General features: G+C 39.2%; 20 annotated features.

The window, feature by feature from the left end:
* Window positions 266-825: an enhancer, noted in NCBI's record as "OCT4-NANOG-H3K27ac-H3K4me1 hESC enhancer chr8:46850997-46851556 (GRCh37/hg19 assembly coordinates)". NCBI's record gives its function as "activates a minimal SCP1, AML or CMV promoter by ChIP-STARR-seq in primed H9 embryonic stem cells {active_cell/tissue: H9 hESC(primed)}" and the evidence as "EXISTENCE:reporter gene assay evidence [ECO:0000049][PMID:30033119]".
* Window positions 826-1385: an enhancer, noted in NCBI's record as "OCT4-NANOG-H3K27ac-H3K4me1 hESC enhancer chr8:46850437-46850996 (GRCh37/hg19 assembly coordinates)". NCBI's record gives its function as "activates a minimal SCP1, AML or CMV promoter by ChIP-STARR-seq in naive and primed H9 embryonic stem cells {active_cell/tissue: H9 hESC(naive and primed)}" and the evidence as "EXISTENCE:reporter gene assay evidence [ECO:0000049][PMID:30033119]".
* Window positions 1386-1945: an enhancer, noted in NCBI's record as "OCT4-NANOG-H3K27ac-H3K4me1 hESC enhancer chr8:46849877-46850436 (GRCh37/hg19 assembly coordinates)". NCBI's record gives its function as "activates a minimal SCP1, AML or CMV promoter by ChIP-STARR-seq in primed H9 embryonic stem cells {active_cell/tissue: H9 hESC(primed)}" and the evidence as "EXISTENCE:reporter gene assay evidence [ECO:0000049][PMID:30033119]".
* Window positions 1946-2505: an enhancer, noted in NCBI's record as "OCT4-NANOG-H3K27ac-H3K4me1 hESC enhancer chr8:46849317-46849876 (GRCh37/hg19 assembly coordinates)". NCBI's record gives its function as "activates a minimal SCP1, AML or CMV promoter by ChIP-STARR-seq in primed H9 embryonic stem cells {active_cell/tissue: H9 hESC(primed)}" and the evidence as "EXISTENCE:reporter gene assay evidence [ECO:0000049][PMID:30033119]".
* Window positions 2506-3065: an enhancer, noted in NCBI's record as "OCT4-NANOG-H3K27ac-H3K4me1 hESC enhancer chr8:46848757-46849316 (GRCh37/hg19 assembly coordinates)". NCBI's record gives its function as "activates a minimal SCP1, AML or CMV promoter by ChIP-STARR-seq in primed H9 embryonic stem cells {active_cell/tissue: H9 hESC(primed)}" and the evidence as "EXISTENCE:reporter gene assay evidence [ECO:0000049][PMID:30033119]".
* Window positions 3066-3625: an enhancer, noted in NCBI's record as "OCT4-NANOG-H3K27ac-H3K4me1 hESC enhancer chr8:46848197-46848756 (GRCh37/hg19 assembly coordinates)". NCBI's record gives its function as "activates a minimal SCP1, AML or CMV promoter by ChIP-STARR-seq in primed H9 embryonic stem cells {active_cell/tissue: H9 hESC(primed)}" and the evidence as "EXISTENCE:reporter gene assay evidence [ECO:0000049][PMID:30033119]".
* Window positions 4186-4743: an enhancer, noted in NCBI's record as "OCT4-NANOG-H3K27ac-H3K4me1 hESC enhancer chr8:46847079-46847636 (GRCh37/hg19 assembly coordinates)". NCBI's record gives its function as "activates a minimal SCP1, AML or CMV promoter by ChIP-STARR-seq in naive H9 embryonic stem cells {active_cell/tissue: H9 hESC(naive)}" and the evidence as "EXISTENCE:reporter gene assay evidence [ECO:0000049][PMID:30033119]".
* Window positions 4744-5303: an enhancer, noted in NCBI's record as "OCT4-NANOG-H3K27ac-H3K4me1 hESC enhancer chr8:46846519-46847078 (GRCh37/hg19 assembly coordinates)". NCBI's record gives its function as "activates a minimal SCP1, AML or CMV promoter by ChIP-STARR-seq in naive and primed H9 embryonic stem cells {active_cell/tissue: H9 hESC(naive and primed)}" and the evidence as "EXISTENCE:reporter gene assay evidence [ECO:0000049][PMID:30033119]".
* Window positions 5304-5863: an enhancer, noted in NCBI's record as "OCT4-NANOG-H3K27ac-H3K4me1 hESC enhancer chr8:46845959-46846518 (GRCh37/hg19 assembly coordinates)". NCBI's record gives its function as "activates a minimal SCP1, AML or CMV promoter by ChIP-STARR-seq in naive H9 embryonic stem cells {active_cell/tissue: H9 hESC(naive)}" and the evidence as "EXISTENCE:reporter gene assay evidence [ECO:0000049][PMID:30033119]".
* Window positions 5864-6423: an enhancer, noted in NCBI's record as "OCT4-NANOG-H3K27ac-H3K4me1 hESC enhancer chr8:46845399-46845958 (GRCh37/hg19 assembly coordinates)". NCBI's record gives its function as "activates a minimal SCP1, AML or CMV promoter by ChIP-STARR-seq in naive and primed H9 embryonic stem cells {active_cell/tissue: H9 hESC(naive and primed)}" and the evidence as "EXISTENCE:reporter gene assay evidence [ECO:0000049][PMID:30033119]".
* Window positions 6424-6983: an enhancer, noted in NCBI's record as "OCT4-NANOG-H3K27ac-H3K4me1 hESC enhancer chr8:46844839-46845398 (GRCh37/hg19 assembly coordinates)". NCBI's record gives its function as "activates a minimal SCP1, AML or CMV promoter by ChIP-STARR-seq in naive and primed H9 embryonic stem cells {active_cell/tissue: H9 hESC(naive and primed)}" and the evidence as "EXISTENCE:reporter gene assay evidence [ECO:0000049][PMID:30033119]".
* Window positions 6984-7543: an enhancer, noted in NCBI's record as "OCT4-NANOG-H3K27ac-H3K4me1 hESC enhancer chr8:46844279-46844838 (GRCh37/hg19 assembly coordinates)". NCBI's record gives its function as "activates a minimal SCP1, AML or CMV promoter by ChIP-STARR-seq in primed H9 embryonic stem cells {active_cell/tissue: H9 hESC(primed)}" and the evidence as "EXISTENCE:reporter gene assay evidence [ECO:0000049][PMID:30033119]".
* Window positions 7544-8103: an enhancer, noted in NCBI's record as "OCT4-NANOG-H3K27ac-H3K4me1 hESC enhancer chr8:46843719-46844278 (GRCh37/hg19 assembly coordinates)". NCBI's record gives its function as "activates a minimal SCP1, AML or CMV promoter by ChIP-STARR-seq in naive and primed H9 embryonic stem cells {active_cell/tissue: H9 hESC(naive and primed)}" and the evidence as "EXISTENCE:reporter gene assay evidence [ECO:0000049][PMID:30033119]".
* Window positions 8104-8663: an enhancer, noted in NCBI's record as "OCT4-NANOG-H3K27ac hESC enhancer chr8:46843159-46843718 (GRCh37/hg19 assembly coordinates)". NCBI's record gives its function as "activates a minimal SCP1, AML or CMV promoter by ChIP-STARR-seq in naive and primed H9 embryonic stem cells {active_cell/tissue: H9 hESC(naive and primed)}" and the evidence as "EXISTENCE:reporter gene assay evidence [ECO:0000049][PMID:30033119]".
* Window positions 9222-9781: an enhancer, noted in NCBI's record as "OCT4-NANOG-H3K27ac-H3K4me1 hESC enhancer chr8:46842041-46842600 (GRCh37/hg19 assembly coordinates)". NCBI's record gives its function as "activates a minimal SCP1, AML or CMV promoter by ChIP-STARR-seq in primed H9 embryonic stem cells {active_cell/tissue: H9 hESC(primed)}" and the evidence as "EXISTENCE:reporter gene assay evidence [ECO:0000049][PMID:30033119]".
* Window positions 9782-10341: an enhancer, noted in NCBI's record as "OCT4-NANOG-H3K27ac-H3K4me1 hESC enhancer chr8:46841481-46842040 (GRCh37/hg19 assembly coordinates)". NCBI's record gives its function as "activates a minimal SCP1, AML or CMV promoter by ChIP-STARR-seq in naive H9 embryonic stem cells {active_cell/tissue: H9 hESC(naive)}" and the evidence as "EXISTENCE:reporter gene assay evidence [ECO:0000049][PMID:30033119]".
* Window positions 10342-10901: an enhancer, noted in NCBI's record as "OCT4-NANOG-H3K27ac-H3K4me1 hESC enhancer chr8:46840921-46841480 (GRCh37/hg19 assembly coordinates)". NCBI's record gives its function as "activates a minimal SCP1, AML or CMV promoter by ChIP-STARR-seq in primed H9 embryonic stem cells {active_cell/tissue: H9 hESC(primed)}" and the evidence as "EXISTENCE:reporter gene assay evidence [ECO:0000049][PMID:30033119]".
* Window positions 10902-11461: an enhancer, noted in NCBI's record as "OCT4-NANOG-H3K27ac-H3K4me1 hESC enhancer chr8:46840361-46840920 (GRCh37/hg19 assembly coordinates)". NCBI's record gives its function as "activates a minimal SCP1, AML or CMV promoter by ChIP-STARR-seq in primed H9 embryonic stem cells {active_cell/tissue: H9 hESC(primed)}" and the evidence as "EXISTENCE:reporter gene assay evidence [ECO:0000049][PMID:30033119]".
* Window positions 11462-12021: an enhancer, noted in NCBI's record as "OCT4-NANOG-H3K27ac-H3K4me1 hESC enhancer chr8:46839801-46840360 (GRCh37/hg19 assembly coordinates)". NCBI's record gives its function as "activates a minimal SCP1, AML or CMV promoter by ChIP-STARR-seq in primed H9 embryonic stem cells {active_cell/tissue: H9 hESC(primed)}" and the evidence as "EXISTENCE:reporter gene assay evidence [ECO:0000049][PMID:30033119]".
* Window positions 12022-12581: an enhancer, noted in NCBI's record as "OCT4-NANOG-H3K27ac-H3K4me1 hESC enhancer chr8:46839241-46839800 (GRCh37/hg19 assembly coordinates)". NCBI's record gives its function as "activates a minimal SCP1, AML or CMV promoter by ChIP-STARR-seq in primed H9 embryonic stem cells {active_cell/tissue: H9 hESC(primed)}" and the evidence as "EXISTENCE:reporter gene assay evidence [ECO:0000049][PMID:30033119]".

The following is a 12801-nucleotide window of genomic DNA, read 5'->3' as shown; positions in this document are numbered from 1 at the left end:
CCGTTTCCAAGGAAATCCTCACAGCTATCCAAATATCCACTTGCAGATTCTACAAAAAGTGTGGTTCAAAACTGCTGTATCAAAAGAATGGATCAACACTGTTAGTTGAGTACCCACATCACAAACGTGATTCTCAGAATGCTTCTGTCTACTTTCTATAGGTAGATATTTCCTTTTTCAGCATAGGCCTCAAAGCGCTCCAAATGCCTGCTTCCAGACACTATAAAAAGAGGGTTTCAAACCTACTCTACGAAAGGGAATGTTCAACTCTGAGAGCTGGATGCAAACATCACAAAGAAGTTTCTGAGAATGCTGCTGTCTACTTTTTATATATAATCCCGTTTCCAAGGAAATCCTCAAATCTATCCAAATATCCACTTGCAGATTCCAAAAGAAGAGTGTCTCAAAACTGCTCTATCAATAGAAATGTTCAGCACAGTTAGTTGAGTAGATACAGCATAAACATGTTTCTGAGATTACTTCTATCTCGCATTCATGGGAAGATATTTCCTTTTTCCAGATAGGCAACAAAGCCCTCCAAATGTCCACTTCGAGATACCACAAATAGAGTGATGCACAACTGCTCTATGTGAGGGGATGTTCAATTCTGTGACTTGAATGCAGACACCACAAAGAAGTTTCTGAGAATGCTGCTGTCTAATTTTTTATGTAAGCCCGTTTCCCACGAAATCCTCAAAGCTATCCATATATCCACATGCAGAATCTTCAAAAAGAGTGTTCCAGAAGTACTGTATGAAAGGAAAGGTTCAAGTCCGTTAGTTGAGGACACACATCACAAATAAGTTTCTCAGAATGCTTCTGTCTTGTTTTCATTGGAAGATATTTCCTTTTTCACCATAGTTCAGAAAGCGCTCCAAATGTCCACTTCCAGATACTACAAAAAGAGTGTTTCCAACCTGCTCTATGAATGGGAATGTTCCACTCTGTGACTTGAATGGAAATATGGCAAAGTATTTTCTGAGTATGCTGCTGTGTACGTTTTATATTGCATCCCGTTTCCAACGAAATCCTCAAAGCGATCCAAATATCCACTTGCAGATTCCAAAAAAAAGAGTGTTTCACACTGCCCTGTCAGTAGAAAGGTTCAACACTGTTAGTTGATTGGATGCATCATAAACAAGTTCCTGAGATAGCTTCTATGTCGTTTTTATGGGAAGATATTTCCTTTTTCACCATAGGCCTGAAAGCGCTCCAGATGTCCACTTCCAGATACTACAAAAAGAGTGTTTCCAACCTGCTCTATGAAACGGAAGGTTCAACTCTTTGACTTGATTGCAAACATCACGAAGGTGTTTCTGAGAATGTTTCTGTCTAGATTTTCTTTGAAGACATTACCGTTTCCAACGAAATCCTCAAAGCTAGCCAAATATCCACCTGCAGATTCTACAAAAAGAGTGTTTCAAAAGTGCTCTGTCCAAACCAAGGTTCAATTCTGACAGTTGAGTGCACACATCACAAACGTGATTCTGCGAATGCTTCTGTCTAGTTTTTGTCGGAAGATATTTCCTTTTTCAGCATAGGCCCCAAGGAGCTCAAAATGTCCACTTCCAGATAGTACGAGAAGATTGTTTCAAACCTGCTCTGTGAAAGGGAATGTTCAACTCTGTGACTTGAATGTAAACATCCCTAAGATGTTTCTTAGAATGCTTCTGGCTAGATTTGATTTGAAGATATTCCCGTTTCCAACGAAATCCTCAAAGCTTTCCAAATATCCACTTCCAGATTCTATAAAAAGAATGTTTCACAACAGTTCTGTCAAAAGAAAGGTTCAACCCTGTTAGTGGAGAACACACATCACAATCAAGGTTCTGAGAATGCTTCTGTCTAAATTTTCTATGAAGACATTCCCGTTTCCAAGGAAATCCTCACAGCTATCCAAATATCCACTTGCAGATTCTACAAAAAGTGTGGTTCAAAACTGCTGTATCAAAAGAATGGATCAACACTGTTAGTTGAGTACCCACATCACAAACGTGATTCTCAGAATGCTTCTGTCTAGTTTCTATAGGTAGATATTTCCTTTTTCAGCATAGGCCTGAAAGCGCTCCAAATGCCCGCTTCCAGACACTATAAAAAGAGGGTTTCAAACCTACTCTACGAAAGGGAATGTTCAACTCTGAGAGCTGGATGCAAACATCACAAAGAAGTTTCTGAGAATGCTGCTGTCTACTTTTTATATATAATCCCGTTTCCAACTAAATCCTCAAATCTATCCAAATATCCACTTGCAGATTCCAAAAGAAGAGTGTCTCAAAACTGCTCTATCAATAGAAATGTTCAGCACAGTTAGTTGAGTAGATACAGCATAAACATGTTTCTGAGATTACTTCTATCTCGCATTCATGGGAAGATATTTCCTTTTTCCAGATAGGCTACAAAGCCCTCCAAATGTCCACTTCGAGATACTACAAATAGAGTGCTGCACAACTGCTCTATGTGAGGGGATGTTCAATTCTGTGACTTGAATGCAGACACCACAAAGAAGTTTCTGAGAATGCTGCTGTCTAATTTTTATATGTAAGCCCGTTTCCAACGAAATCCTCAAAGCTATCCAAATATCCGCATGCAGAATCTTCAAAAAGAGTGTTCCAGAAGTACTGCATGAAACGAAAGGTTCAAGTCCGTTAGTTGAGGACACACATCACAAATAAGTTTCTCAGAATGCTTCTGTCTTGTTTTCATTGGAAGATATTTCCTTTTTCACCATAGTTCAGAAAGCGCTCCAAATGTCCACTTCCAGATACTACAAAAAGAGTGTTTCCAACCTGCTCTATGAATGGGAATGTTCCACTCTGTGACTTGAATGGAAATATGGCAAAGTATTTTCTGAGTATGCTGCTGTGTACCTTTTATATTGCATCCCGTTTCCAACGAAATCCTCAAAGCGATCCAAATATCCACATGCAGATTCCAAAAAAAAGAGTGTTTCACACTGCCCTGTCAGTAGAAAGGTTCAAAACTGTTAGTTGATTGGATGCATCATAAACAACTTCCTGAGATAGCTTCTATGTCGTTTTTATGGGAAGATATTTCCTTTTTCACCGTAGGCTTGAAAGCGCTCCAAATGTCCACTTCCAGATACTACAAAAAGAGTGTTTCCAACCTGCTCTATGAAACGGAAGGTTCAACTCTGTGACTTGATTGCAAACATCACGAAGGTGTTTCTGAGAATGTTTCTGTCTAGATTTTCTTTGAAGACATTACCGTTTCCAACGAAATCCTCAAAGCTAGCCAAATATCCACCTGCAGATTCTACAAAAAGAGTGTTTCAAAAGTGCTCTGTCCAAACCAAGGTTCAATTCTGACAGTTGAGTGCACACATCACAAACGTGATTCTGCGAATGCTTCTGTCTAGTTTTTGTCGGAAGATATTTCCTTTTTCAGCATAGGCCCCAAGGAGCTCAAAATGTCCACTTCCAGATAGTACGAGAAGATTGTTTCAAACCTGCTCTGTGAAAGGGAATGTTCAACTCTGTGACTTGAATGTAAACATCCCTAAGATGTTTCTTAGAATGCTTCTGGCTAGATTTGATTTGAAGATATTCCCGTTTCCAACGAAATCCTCAAAGCTTTCCAAATATCCACTTCCAGATTCTATAAAAAGAATCTTTCAGAACAGTTCTGTCAAAAGAAAGGTTCAACTCTGTTAATGGAGAACACACATGTCAATCAAGGTTCTGAGAATGCTTCTGTCTAAATTTTCTATGAAGACATTCCCGTTTCCAAGGAAATCCTCACAGCTATCCAAATATCCACTTGCAGATTCTACAAAAAGTGTGGTTCAAAACTGCTGTATCAAAAGAATGGATCATCACTGTTAGTTGAGTACCCACATCACAAACGTGATTCTCAGAATGTTTCTGTCTAGTTTCTATAGGTAGATATTTCCTTTTTCAGCATAGGCCTGAAAGCGCTCCAAATGCCCGCTTCCAGACACTATAAAAAGAGGGTTTCAAACCTACTCTACGAAAGGGAATGTTCAACTCTGAGAGCTGGATGCAAACATCACAAAGAAGTTTCTGAGAATGCGGCTGTCTACTTTTTATATATAATCCCGTTGCCAACAAAATCCTCAAATCTTTCAAAATATCCACTTGCAGATTCCAAAAGAAGAGTGTCTCAAAACTGCTCTATCAATAGAAATGTTCAGCACAGTTAGTGGAGTAGTTACAGCATAAACATGTTTCTGAGATTACTTCTATCTCGCATTCATGGGAAGATATTTCCTTATTCCAGATAGGCTACAAAGCCCTCCAAATGTCCACATCGAGATACTACAAATAGAGTGCTGCACAACTGCTCTATGTGAGGTGATGTTCAATTCTGTGACTTGAATGCAGACACCACAAAGAAGTTTTTGAGAATGCTGCTGTCTAATTTTTATATGTAAGCCCGTTTCCAACGAAATCCTCAAAGCTATCCAAATATCCGCATGCAGAATCTTCAAAAAGAGTGTTCCAGAAGTACTGCATGAAACGAAAGGTTCAAGTCCGTTAGTTGAGGACACACGTCACAAATAAGTTTCTCAGAATGCTTCTGTCTTGTTTTCATTGGAAGATATTTCCTTTTTCACCATAGTTCAGAAAGCGCTCCAAATGTCCACTTCCAGATACTACAAAAAGAGTGTGTCAAACCTGCTCTATGAATGGGAATATTCCACTCTGTGACTTGAATGGAAATATGGCAAAGTATTTTCTGACTATGCTGCTGTGTACGTTTTATATTGCATCCCGTTTACAATGAAATCCTCAAAGCGATCCAAATATCCACTTGCAGATCCCAAAAAAAAGAGTGTTTCACACTGCTCTCTCAGTACAAAGATTCAACACTGTTAGTTGATTGGATGCATCATAAACAAGTTCCTGAGATAGCTTCTATGTCGTTTTTATGGGAAGATATTTCCTTTTTCACCATAGGCCTGAAAGCGCTCCAAATGTCCACTTCCAGATACTACAAAAAGAGTGTTTCCCACCTGCTCTATGAAACGGAAGGTTCAACTCTGTGACTTGATTGCAAACATCACGAAGGTGTTTCTGAGAATGTTTCTGTCTAGATTTTCTTTGAAGACATTACCGTTTCCAACGAAATCCTCAAAGCTTGCCAAATATCCACCTGCAGATTCTACAAAAAAAGTGTTTCAAAAGTGCTCTGTCCAAACAAAGGTTCAATTCTGACAGTTGAGTGAACACATCACAAACGTGATTCTGCGAATGCTTCTGTCTAGTTTTTGTCGGAAGATATTTCCTTTTTCAGCATAGGCCCCAAGGAGCTCAAAATGTCCACTTCCAGATAGTACGAGAAGATTGTTTCAAACCTGCTCTGTGAAAGGGAATGTTCAACTCTGTGACTTGAATGTAAACATCCCTAAGATGTTTCTTAGAATGCTTCTGGCTAGACTTGATTTGAAGATATTCCCGTTTCCAACGAAATCCTCAAAGCTTTCCAAATATCCACTTCCAGATTCTATAAAAAGAATGTTTCAGAACAGTTCTTTCAAAAGAAAGGTTCAACTCTGTTAGTGGAGAACACACATCACAATCAAGGTTCTGAGAATGCTTCTGTCTAAATTTTCTATGAAGACATTCCCGTTTCCAAGGAAATCCTCACAGCTATCCAAATATCCACTTGCAGATTCTACGAAAAGTGTGGTTCAAAACTGCTGTATCAAAAGAATGGATCAACACTGTTAGTTGAGTACCCACATCACAAACGTGATTCTCAGAAAGCTTCTGTCTAGTTTCTATAGGTAGATATTTCCTTTTTCAGCATAGCCCTGAAAGCGCTCCAAGTGCCCGCTTCCAGACACTATAAAAAGAGGGTTTCAAACCTACTCTACGAAAGGGAATGTTCAACTCTGAGAGCTGGATGCAAACATCACAAAGAAGTTTCTGAGAATGCTGCTGTCTACTTTTGATATATAATCCCGTTGCCAACGAAATCCTCAAATCTATCCAAATATCCACTTGCAGATTCCAAAAGAAGAGTGTCTCAAAACTGCTCTATCAATAGAGATGTTCAGCACAGTTAGTTGAGTAGATACAGCATAAACATGTTTCTGAGATTACTTCTATCTCGCATTCATGGGAAGATATTTCCTTATTCCAGATAGGCTACAAAGCCCTCCAAATGTCCACTTCGAGATACTACAAATAGAGTGCTGCACAACTGCTCTATGTGAGGTGATGTTCAATTCTGTGACTTGAATGCAGACACCACAAAGAAGTTTCTGAGAATGCTGCTGTCTAATTTTTACATGTAAGCCCGTTTCCAACGAAATCGTCAAAGCTATCCAAATATCCGCATGCACAATCTTCAAAAACAGTGTTCCAGAAGTACTGCATGAAACGAAAGGTTCAAGTCCTTTAGTTGAGGACACACATCACAAATAAGTTTCTCAGAATGCTTCTGTCTTGTTTTCATTGGAAGATATTTCCTTTTTCACCATAGTTCAGAAAGCGCTCCAAATGTCCACTTCCAGATACTCCAAAAAGACTGTTTCCAACCTGCTCTATGAATGGGAATGTTCCACTCTGTGACTTGAATGGAAATATGGCAAAGTATTTTCTGAGTATGCTGCTGTGTACGTTTTATATTGCATCCCGTTTCCAACGAAATCCTCAAAGCGATCCAAATATCCACTTGCAGATTCCAAAAAAAGAGTGTTTCAAACTGCTCTGTCACTACAAAGGTTCAACACTGTTAGTTGATTAGATGCATCATAAACAAGTTCCTGAGATAGCTTCAATGTCGTTTTTATGGGAAGATATTTCCTTTTTCACCATAAGCCTGAAAGCGCTCCAAATGTCCACTTCCAGATACTACAAAAAGAGTGTTTCCAACCTGCTCTATGTAACGGAAGGTTCAACTCTGTGACTTGATTGCAAACATCACGAAGGTGTTTCTGAGAATGCTTCTGTCTAGATTTTCTTTGAAGACATTACCGTTTCCAACGAAATCCTCAAAGCTAGCCAAATATCCACCTGCAGATTCTACAAAAAGAGTGTTTCAAAAGTGCTCTGTCCAAACCAAGGTTCAATTCTGACAGTTGAGTGCACACATCACAATCGTGATTCTGCGAATGCTTCTGTCTAGTTTTTGTCGGAAGATATTTCCTTTTTCAGCATAGGCCCCAAGGAGCTCAAAATGTCCACTTCCAGATAGTACGAGAAGATTGTTTCAAACCTGCTCTGTGAAAGGGAATGTTCAACTCTGTGACTTGAATGTAAACCTCCCTAAGATGTTTCTTAGAATGCGTCTGGCTAGATTTTATTTGAAGATATTCCCGTTTCCAACGAAATCCTCAAAGCTTTCCAAATATCCAATTCCAGATTCTATAAAAAGAATGTTTCAGAACAGTTCTGTCAAAAGAAAGGTTCAACTCTGTTAGTGGAGAACACACATCACAATCAAGGTTCTGAGAATGCTTCTGTCTAAATTTTCTATGAAGACATTCCCGTTTCCAACGAAATCCTCACAGCTATCCAAATATCCACTTGCAGATTCTACAAAAAGTGTGGTTCAAAACTGCTGTATCAAAAGAATGGATCAACACTGTTAGTTGAGTACCCACATCACAAACGTGATTCTCAGAATGCTTCTGTCTAGTTTCTGTAGGTAGATATTTCCTTTTTCAGCATAGGCCTGAAAGCGCTCCAAATGCCCGCTTCCAGACACTATAAAAAGAGGGTTTCAAACCTACTCTATGAAACGGAATGTTCAACTCTGAGAGCTGGATGCAAACATCACAAAGAAGTTTCTGAGAATGCTGCTGTCTACTTTTGATATATAATCCCGTTGCCAACGAAGTCCTCAAATCTATCCAAATATCCACTTGCAGATTCCAAAAGAAGAGTGTCTCAAAACTGCTCTATCAATAGAGATGTTCAGCACAGTTAGGTGAGTAGATACAGCATAAACATGTTTCTGAGATTACTTCTATCTCGCATTCATCGGAAGATATTTCCTTTTTCCAGATAGGCTACAAAGCCCTCCAAATGTCCACTTCGAGATACTACAAATAGAGTGCTGCACAACTGCTCTATGTGAGGGGATGTTCAATTCTGTGACTTGAACGCAGACACCACAAAGAAGTTTCTGAGAATGCTGCTGTCTAATTTTTACATGTAAGCCCGTTTCCAACGAAATCCTCAAAACTATCCAAATATCCGCATGCAGAAACTTCAAAAAGAGTGTTCCAGAAGTACTGCATGAAACGAAAGGTTCAAGTCCGTTAGTTCAGGACACACATCACAAATAAGTTTCTCAGAATGCTTCTGTCTTGTTTTCATTGGAAGATATTTACTTTTTCAGCATAGTTCAGAAAGCGCTCCAAATGTCCACTTCCAGATACTCCAAAAAGAGTGTTTCAAACCTGCTCTATGAATGGGAATGTTCCACTCTGTGACTTGAATGGAAATATGGCAAAGTATTTTCTGAGTATGCTGCTGTGTACGTTTTATATTGCATCCCGTTTCGAAAGAAATCCTCAAAGCGATCCAAATATCCACATGCAGATTCCAAAAAAAGAGTGTTTCAAACTGCTCTGTCAGTACAAAGTTTCAACACTGTTAGTTGATTAGATGCATCATAAACAAGTTCCTGAGATAGCTTCTATGTCGTTTTTATTGGAAGATATTTCCTTTTTCACCAGAGGCCTGAAAGCGCTCCAAATGTCCACTTCCAGATACTACAAAAAGAGTGTTTCCAACCTGCTCTATGAAACGGAAGGTTCAACTCTGTGACTTGATTGCAAACATCACGAAGGTGTTTCTGAGAATGTTTCTGTCTAGATTTTCTTTGAAGACATTACCGTTTCCAACGAAATCCTCAAAGCTAGCCAACTATCCACCTGCAGATTCTACAAAAAGAGTGTTTCAAAAGTGCTCTGTCCAAACCAAGGTTCAATTCTGACAGTTGAGTGCACACATCACAATCGTGATTCTGCGAATGCTTCTGTCTAGTTTTTGTCGGAAGATATTTCCTTTTTCAGCATAGGCCCCAAGGAGCTCAAAATGTCCACTTCCAGATAGTACGAGAAGATTGTTTCAAACCTGCTCTGTGAAAGGGAATGTTCAACTCTGTGACTTGAATGTAAACCTCCCTAAGATGTTTCTTAGAATGCGTCTGGCTAGATTTTATTTGAAGATATTCCCGTTTCCAACGAAATCCTCAAAGCTTTCCAAATATCCAATTCCAGATTCTATAAAAAGAATGTTTCAGAACAGTTCTGTCAAAAGAAAGGTTCAACTCTGTTAGTGGAGAACACACATCACAATCAAGGTTCTGAGAATGCTTCTGTCTAAATTTTCTATGAAGACATTCCCGTTTCCAACGAAATCCTCACAGCTATCCAAATATCCACTTGCAGATTCTACAAAAAGTGTGGTTCAAAACTGCTGTATCAAAAGAATGGATCAACACTGTTAGTTGAGTACCCACATCACAAACGTGAGTCTCAGAATGCTTCTGTCTAGTTTCTGTAGGTAGATATTTCCTTTTTCAGCATAGGCCTGAAAGCGCTCCAAATGCCCGCTTCCAGACACTATAAAAAGAGGGTTTCAAACCTACTCTATGAAAGGGAATGTTCAACTCTGAGAGCTGGATGCAAACATCACAAAGGAGTTTCTGAGAATCCTGCTGTCTACTTTTGATATTTAATCCCGTTGCCAACGAAATCCTCAAATCTATCCAAATATCCACTTGCAGATTCCAAAAGAAGAGTGTCTCAAAACTACTCTATCAATAGAAATGTTCAGCACAGTTAGTTGAGTAGATACAGCATAAACATGTTTCTGAGATTACTTCTATCTCGCATTCATGGGAAGATATTTCCTTTTTCCAGATAGGCTACAAAGCCCTCCAAATGTCCACTTCGAGATACTACAAATAGAGTTCTGCACAACTGCTCTATGTGAGGGGATGTTCAATTCTGTGACTTGAACGCAGACACGACAAAGAAGTTTCTGAGAATGCTGCTGTCTAATTTTTACATGTAAGCCCGTTTCCAACGAAATCCTCAAAGCTATCCAAATATCCGCATGCAGAATCTTCAAAAAGAGTGTTCCAGAAGTACTGCATGAAACGAAAGGTTGAAGTCCGTTTGTTGAGGACACACATCACAAATAAGTTTCTCAGAATGCTTCTGTCTTGTTTTCATTGGAAGATATTTCCTTTTTCACCATAGTTCAGAAAGCGCTCCAAATGTCCACTTCCAGATACTCCAAAAAGACTGTTTCAAACCTGCTCTATGAATGGGAATGATCCACTCTGTGACTTGAATGGAAATATGGCAAAGTATTTTCTGAGTATGCTGCTGTGTACGATTTATATTGCATCCCGTTTCCAACGAAATCCTCAAAGCGATCCAAATATCCACTTGCAGATTCCAAAAAAAGAGTGTTTCAAACTGCTCTGTCAGTACAAAGGTTCAACACTGTTAGTTGATTAGATGCATCATAAACAAGTTCCTGAGATACCTTCTATGTCGTTTTTATGGGAAGATATTTCCTTTTTCACCAGAGGCCTGAAAGCGCTCTAAATGTCCACTTCCAGATACTACAAAAAGAGTTTTTCCAACCTGCTCTATGAAACGGAAGGTTCAACTCTGTGACTTGATTGCAAACATCACGAAGGTGTTCCTGAGAATGTTTCTGTCTAGATTTTCTTTGAAGACATTACTGTTTCCAACGAAATCCTCAAAGCTAGCCAAATATCCACCTGCAGATTCTACAAAAAGAGTGTTTCAAAAGTGCTCTGTCCAAACCAAGGTTCAATTCTGACAGTTGAGTGCACACATCACAAACGTGATTCTGCGAATGCTTCTGTCTAGTTTTTGTCGGAAGATATTTCCTTTTTCAGCATAGGCCACAAGGAGCTCAAAATGTCCACTTCCAGATAGTACGAGAAGATTGTTTCAAGCCTGCTCTGTGAAAGGGAATGTTCAACTCTGTGACTTGAATGTAAACCTCCCTAAGATGTTCCTTAGAATGCGTCTGGCTAGATTTTGTTTGAAGATATTCCCGTTTCCAACGAAATCCTCAAAGCTTTCCAAATATCCACTTCCAGATTCTATAAAAAGAATGTTTCAGAACAGTTCTGTCAAAAGAAAGATTCACCTCTGTTAGTGGAGAACACACATCACAATCAAGGTTCTGAGAATGCTTCTGTCTAAATTTTCTATGAAGACATTCCCGTTTCCAACGAAATCCTCACAGCTATCCAAATATCCACTTGCAGATTCTACAAAAAGTGTGGTTCAAAAATGCTGTATCAAAAGAATGGATCAACACTGTTAGTTGAGTACCCACATCACAAACGTGATTCTCAGAATGCTTCTGTCTAATTTCTGTTGGTAGATATTTCCTTTTTCAGCATAGGCCTGAAAGCGCTCCAAATGCCCGCTTCCAGACACTATAAAAAGAGGGTTTCAAACCTACTCTATGAAACGGAATGTTCAACTCTGAGAGCTGGATGCAAACATCACAAAGAAGTTTCTGAGAATGCTGCTGTCTACTTTTGATATATAATCCCGTTGCCAGCGAAATCCTCAAATCTATCCAAATATCCACTTGCAGATTCCAAAAGAAGAGTGTCTCAAAACTGCTCTATCAATAGAGATGTTCAGCACAGTTAGTTGAGTAGATACAGCATAAACATGTTTCTGAGATTACTTCTATCTCGCATTCATGGGAAGATATTTCCTTTTTCCAGATAGGCTACAAAGCCCTCCAAATGTCCACTTCGAGATACTACAAATAGAGTGCTGCACAACTGCTCTATGTGAGGGGATGTTCAATTCTGTGACTTGAACGCAGACACCACAAAGGAGTTTCTGAGAATGCTGCTGTCTAATTTTTACATGTAAGCCCGTTTCCAACGAAATCCTCAAAGCTATCCAAATATCCGCATGCACAATCTTCAAAAAGAGTGTTCCAGAAGTACTGCATGAAACGAAAGGTTCAAGTCCGTTAGTTGAGGACACACATCACAAATAAGTTTCTCAGAATGCTTCTGTCTTGTTTTCATTGGAAGATATTTCCTTTTTCACCATAGTTCACAAAGCGCTCCAAATGTCCACTTCCAGATACTCCAAAAAGAGTCTTTCAAACCTGCTCTATGAATGGGAATGTTCCACTCTGTGACTTGAATGGAAAGATGGCAAAGTATTTTCTGAGTATGCTGCTGTGTACGTTTTATATTGCATCCCGTTTCCAAAGAAATCCTCAAAGCGATCCAAATATCCACATGCAGATTCCAAAAAAAGAGTGTTTCAAACTGCTCTGTCAGTACAAAGTTTCAACACTGTTAGTTGATTAGATGCATCATAAACAGGTTCCTGAGATAGCTTCTATGTCGTTTTTATTGGAAGATATTTCCTTTTTCACCAGAGGCCTGAAAGCGCTCCAAATGTCCACTTCCAGATACTACAAAAAGAGTGTTTCCAACCTGCTCTATGAAACGGAAGGTTCAACTCTGTGACTTGATTGCAAACATCACGAAGGTGTTTCTGAGAATGTTTCTGTCTAGATTTTCTTTGAAGACATTACCGTTTCCAACGAAATCCTCAAAGCTAGCCAACTATCCACCTGCAGATTCTACAAAAAGAGTGTTTCAAAAGTGCTCTGTCCAAACCAAGGTTCAATTCTGACAGTTGAGTGCACACATCACAAACGTGATTCTGCGAATGCTTCTGTCTAGTTTTTGTCGGAAGATATTTCCTTTTTCAGCATAGGCCCCAAGGAGCTCAAAATGTCCACTTCCAGATAGTACGAGAAGATTGTT

This window comes from Homo sapiens, chromosome 8 (assembly GCF_000001405.40).
Source record: "Homo sapiens chromosome 8, GRCh38.p14 Primary Assembly".
NCBI classification, from domain to species: domain Eukaryota; kingdom Metazoa; phylum Chordata; class Mammalia; order Primates; family Hominidae; genus Homo; species Homo sapiens.
Note: the sequence above shows the minus strand (reverse complement) of the source record. Positions and strands in the feature narration are given on the sequence as shown.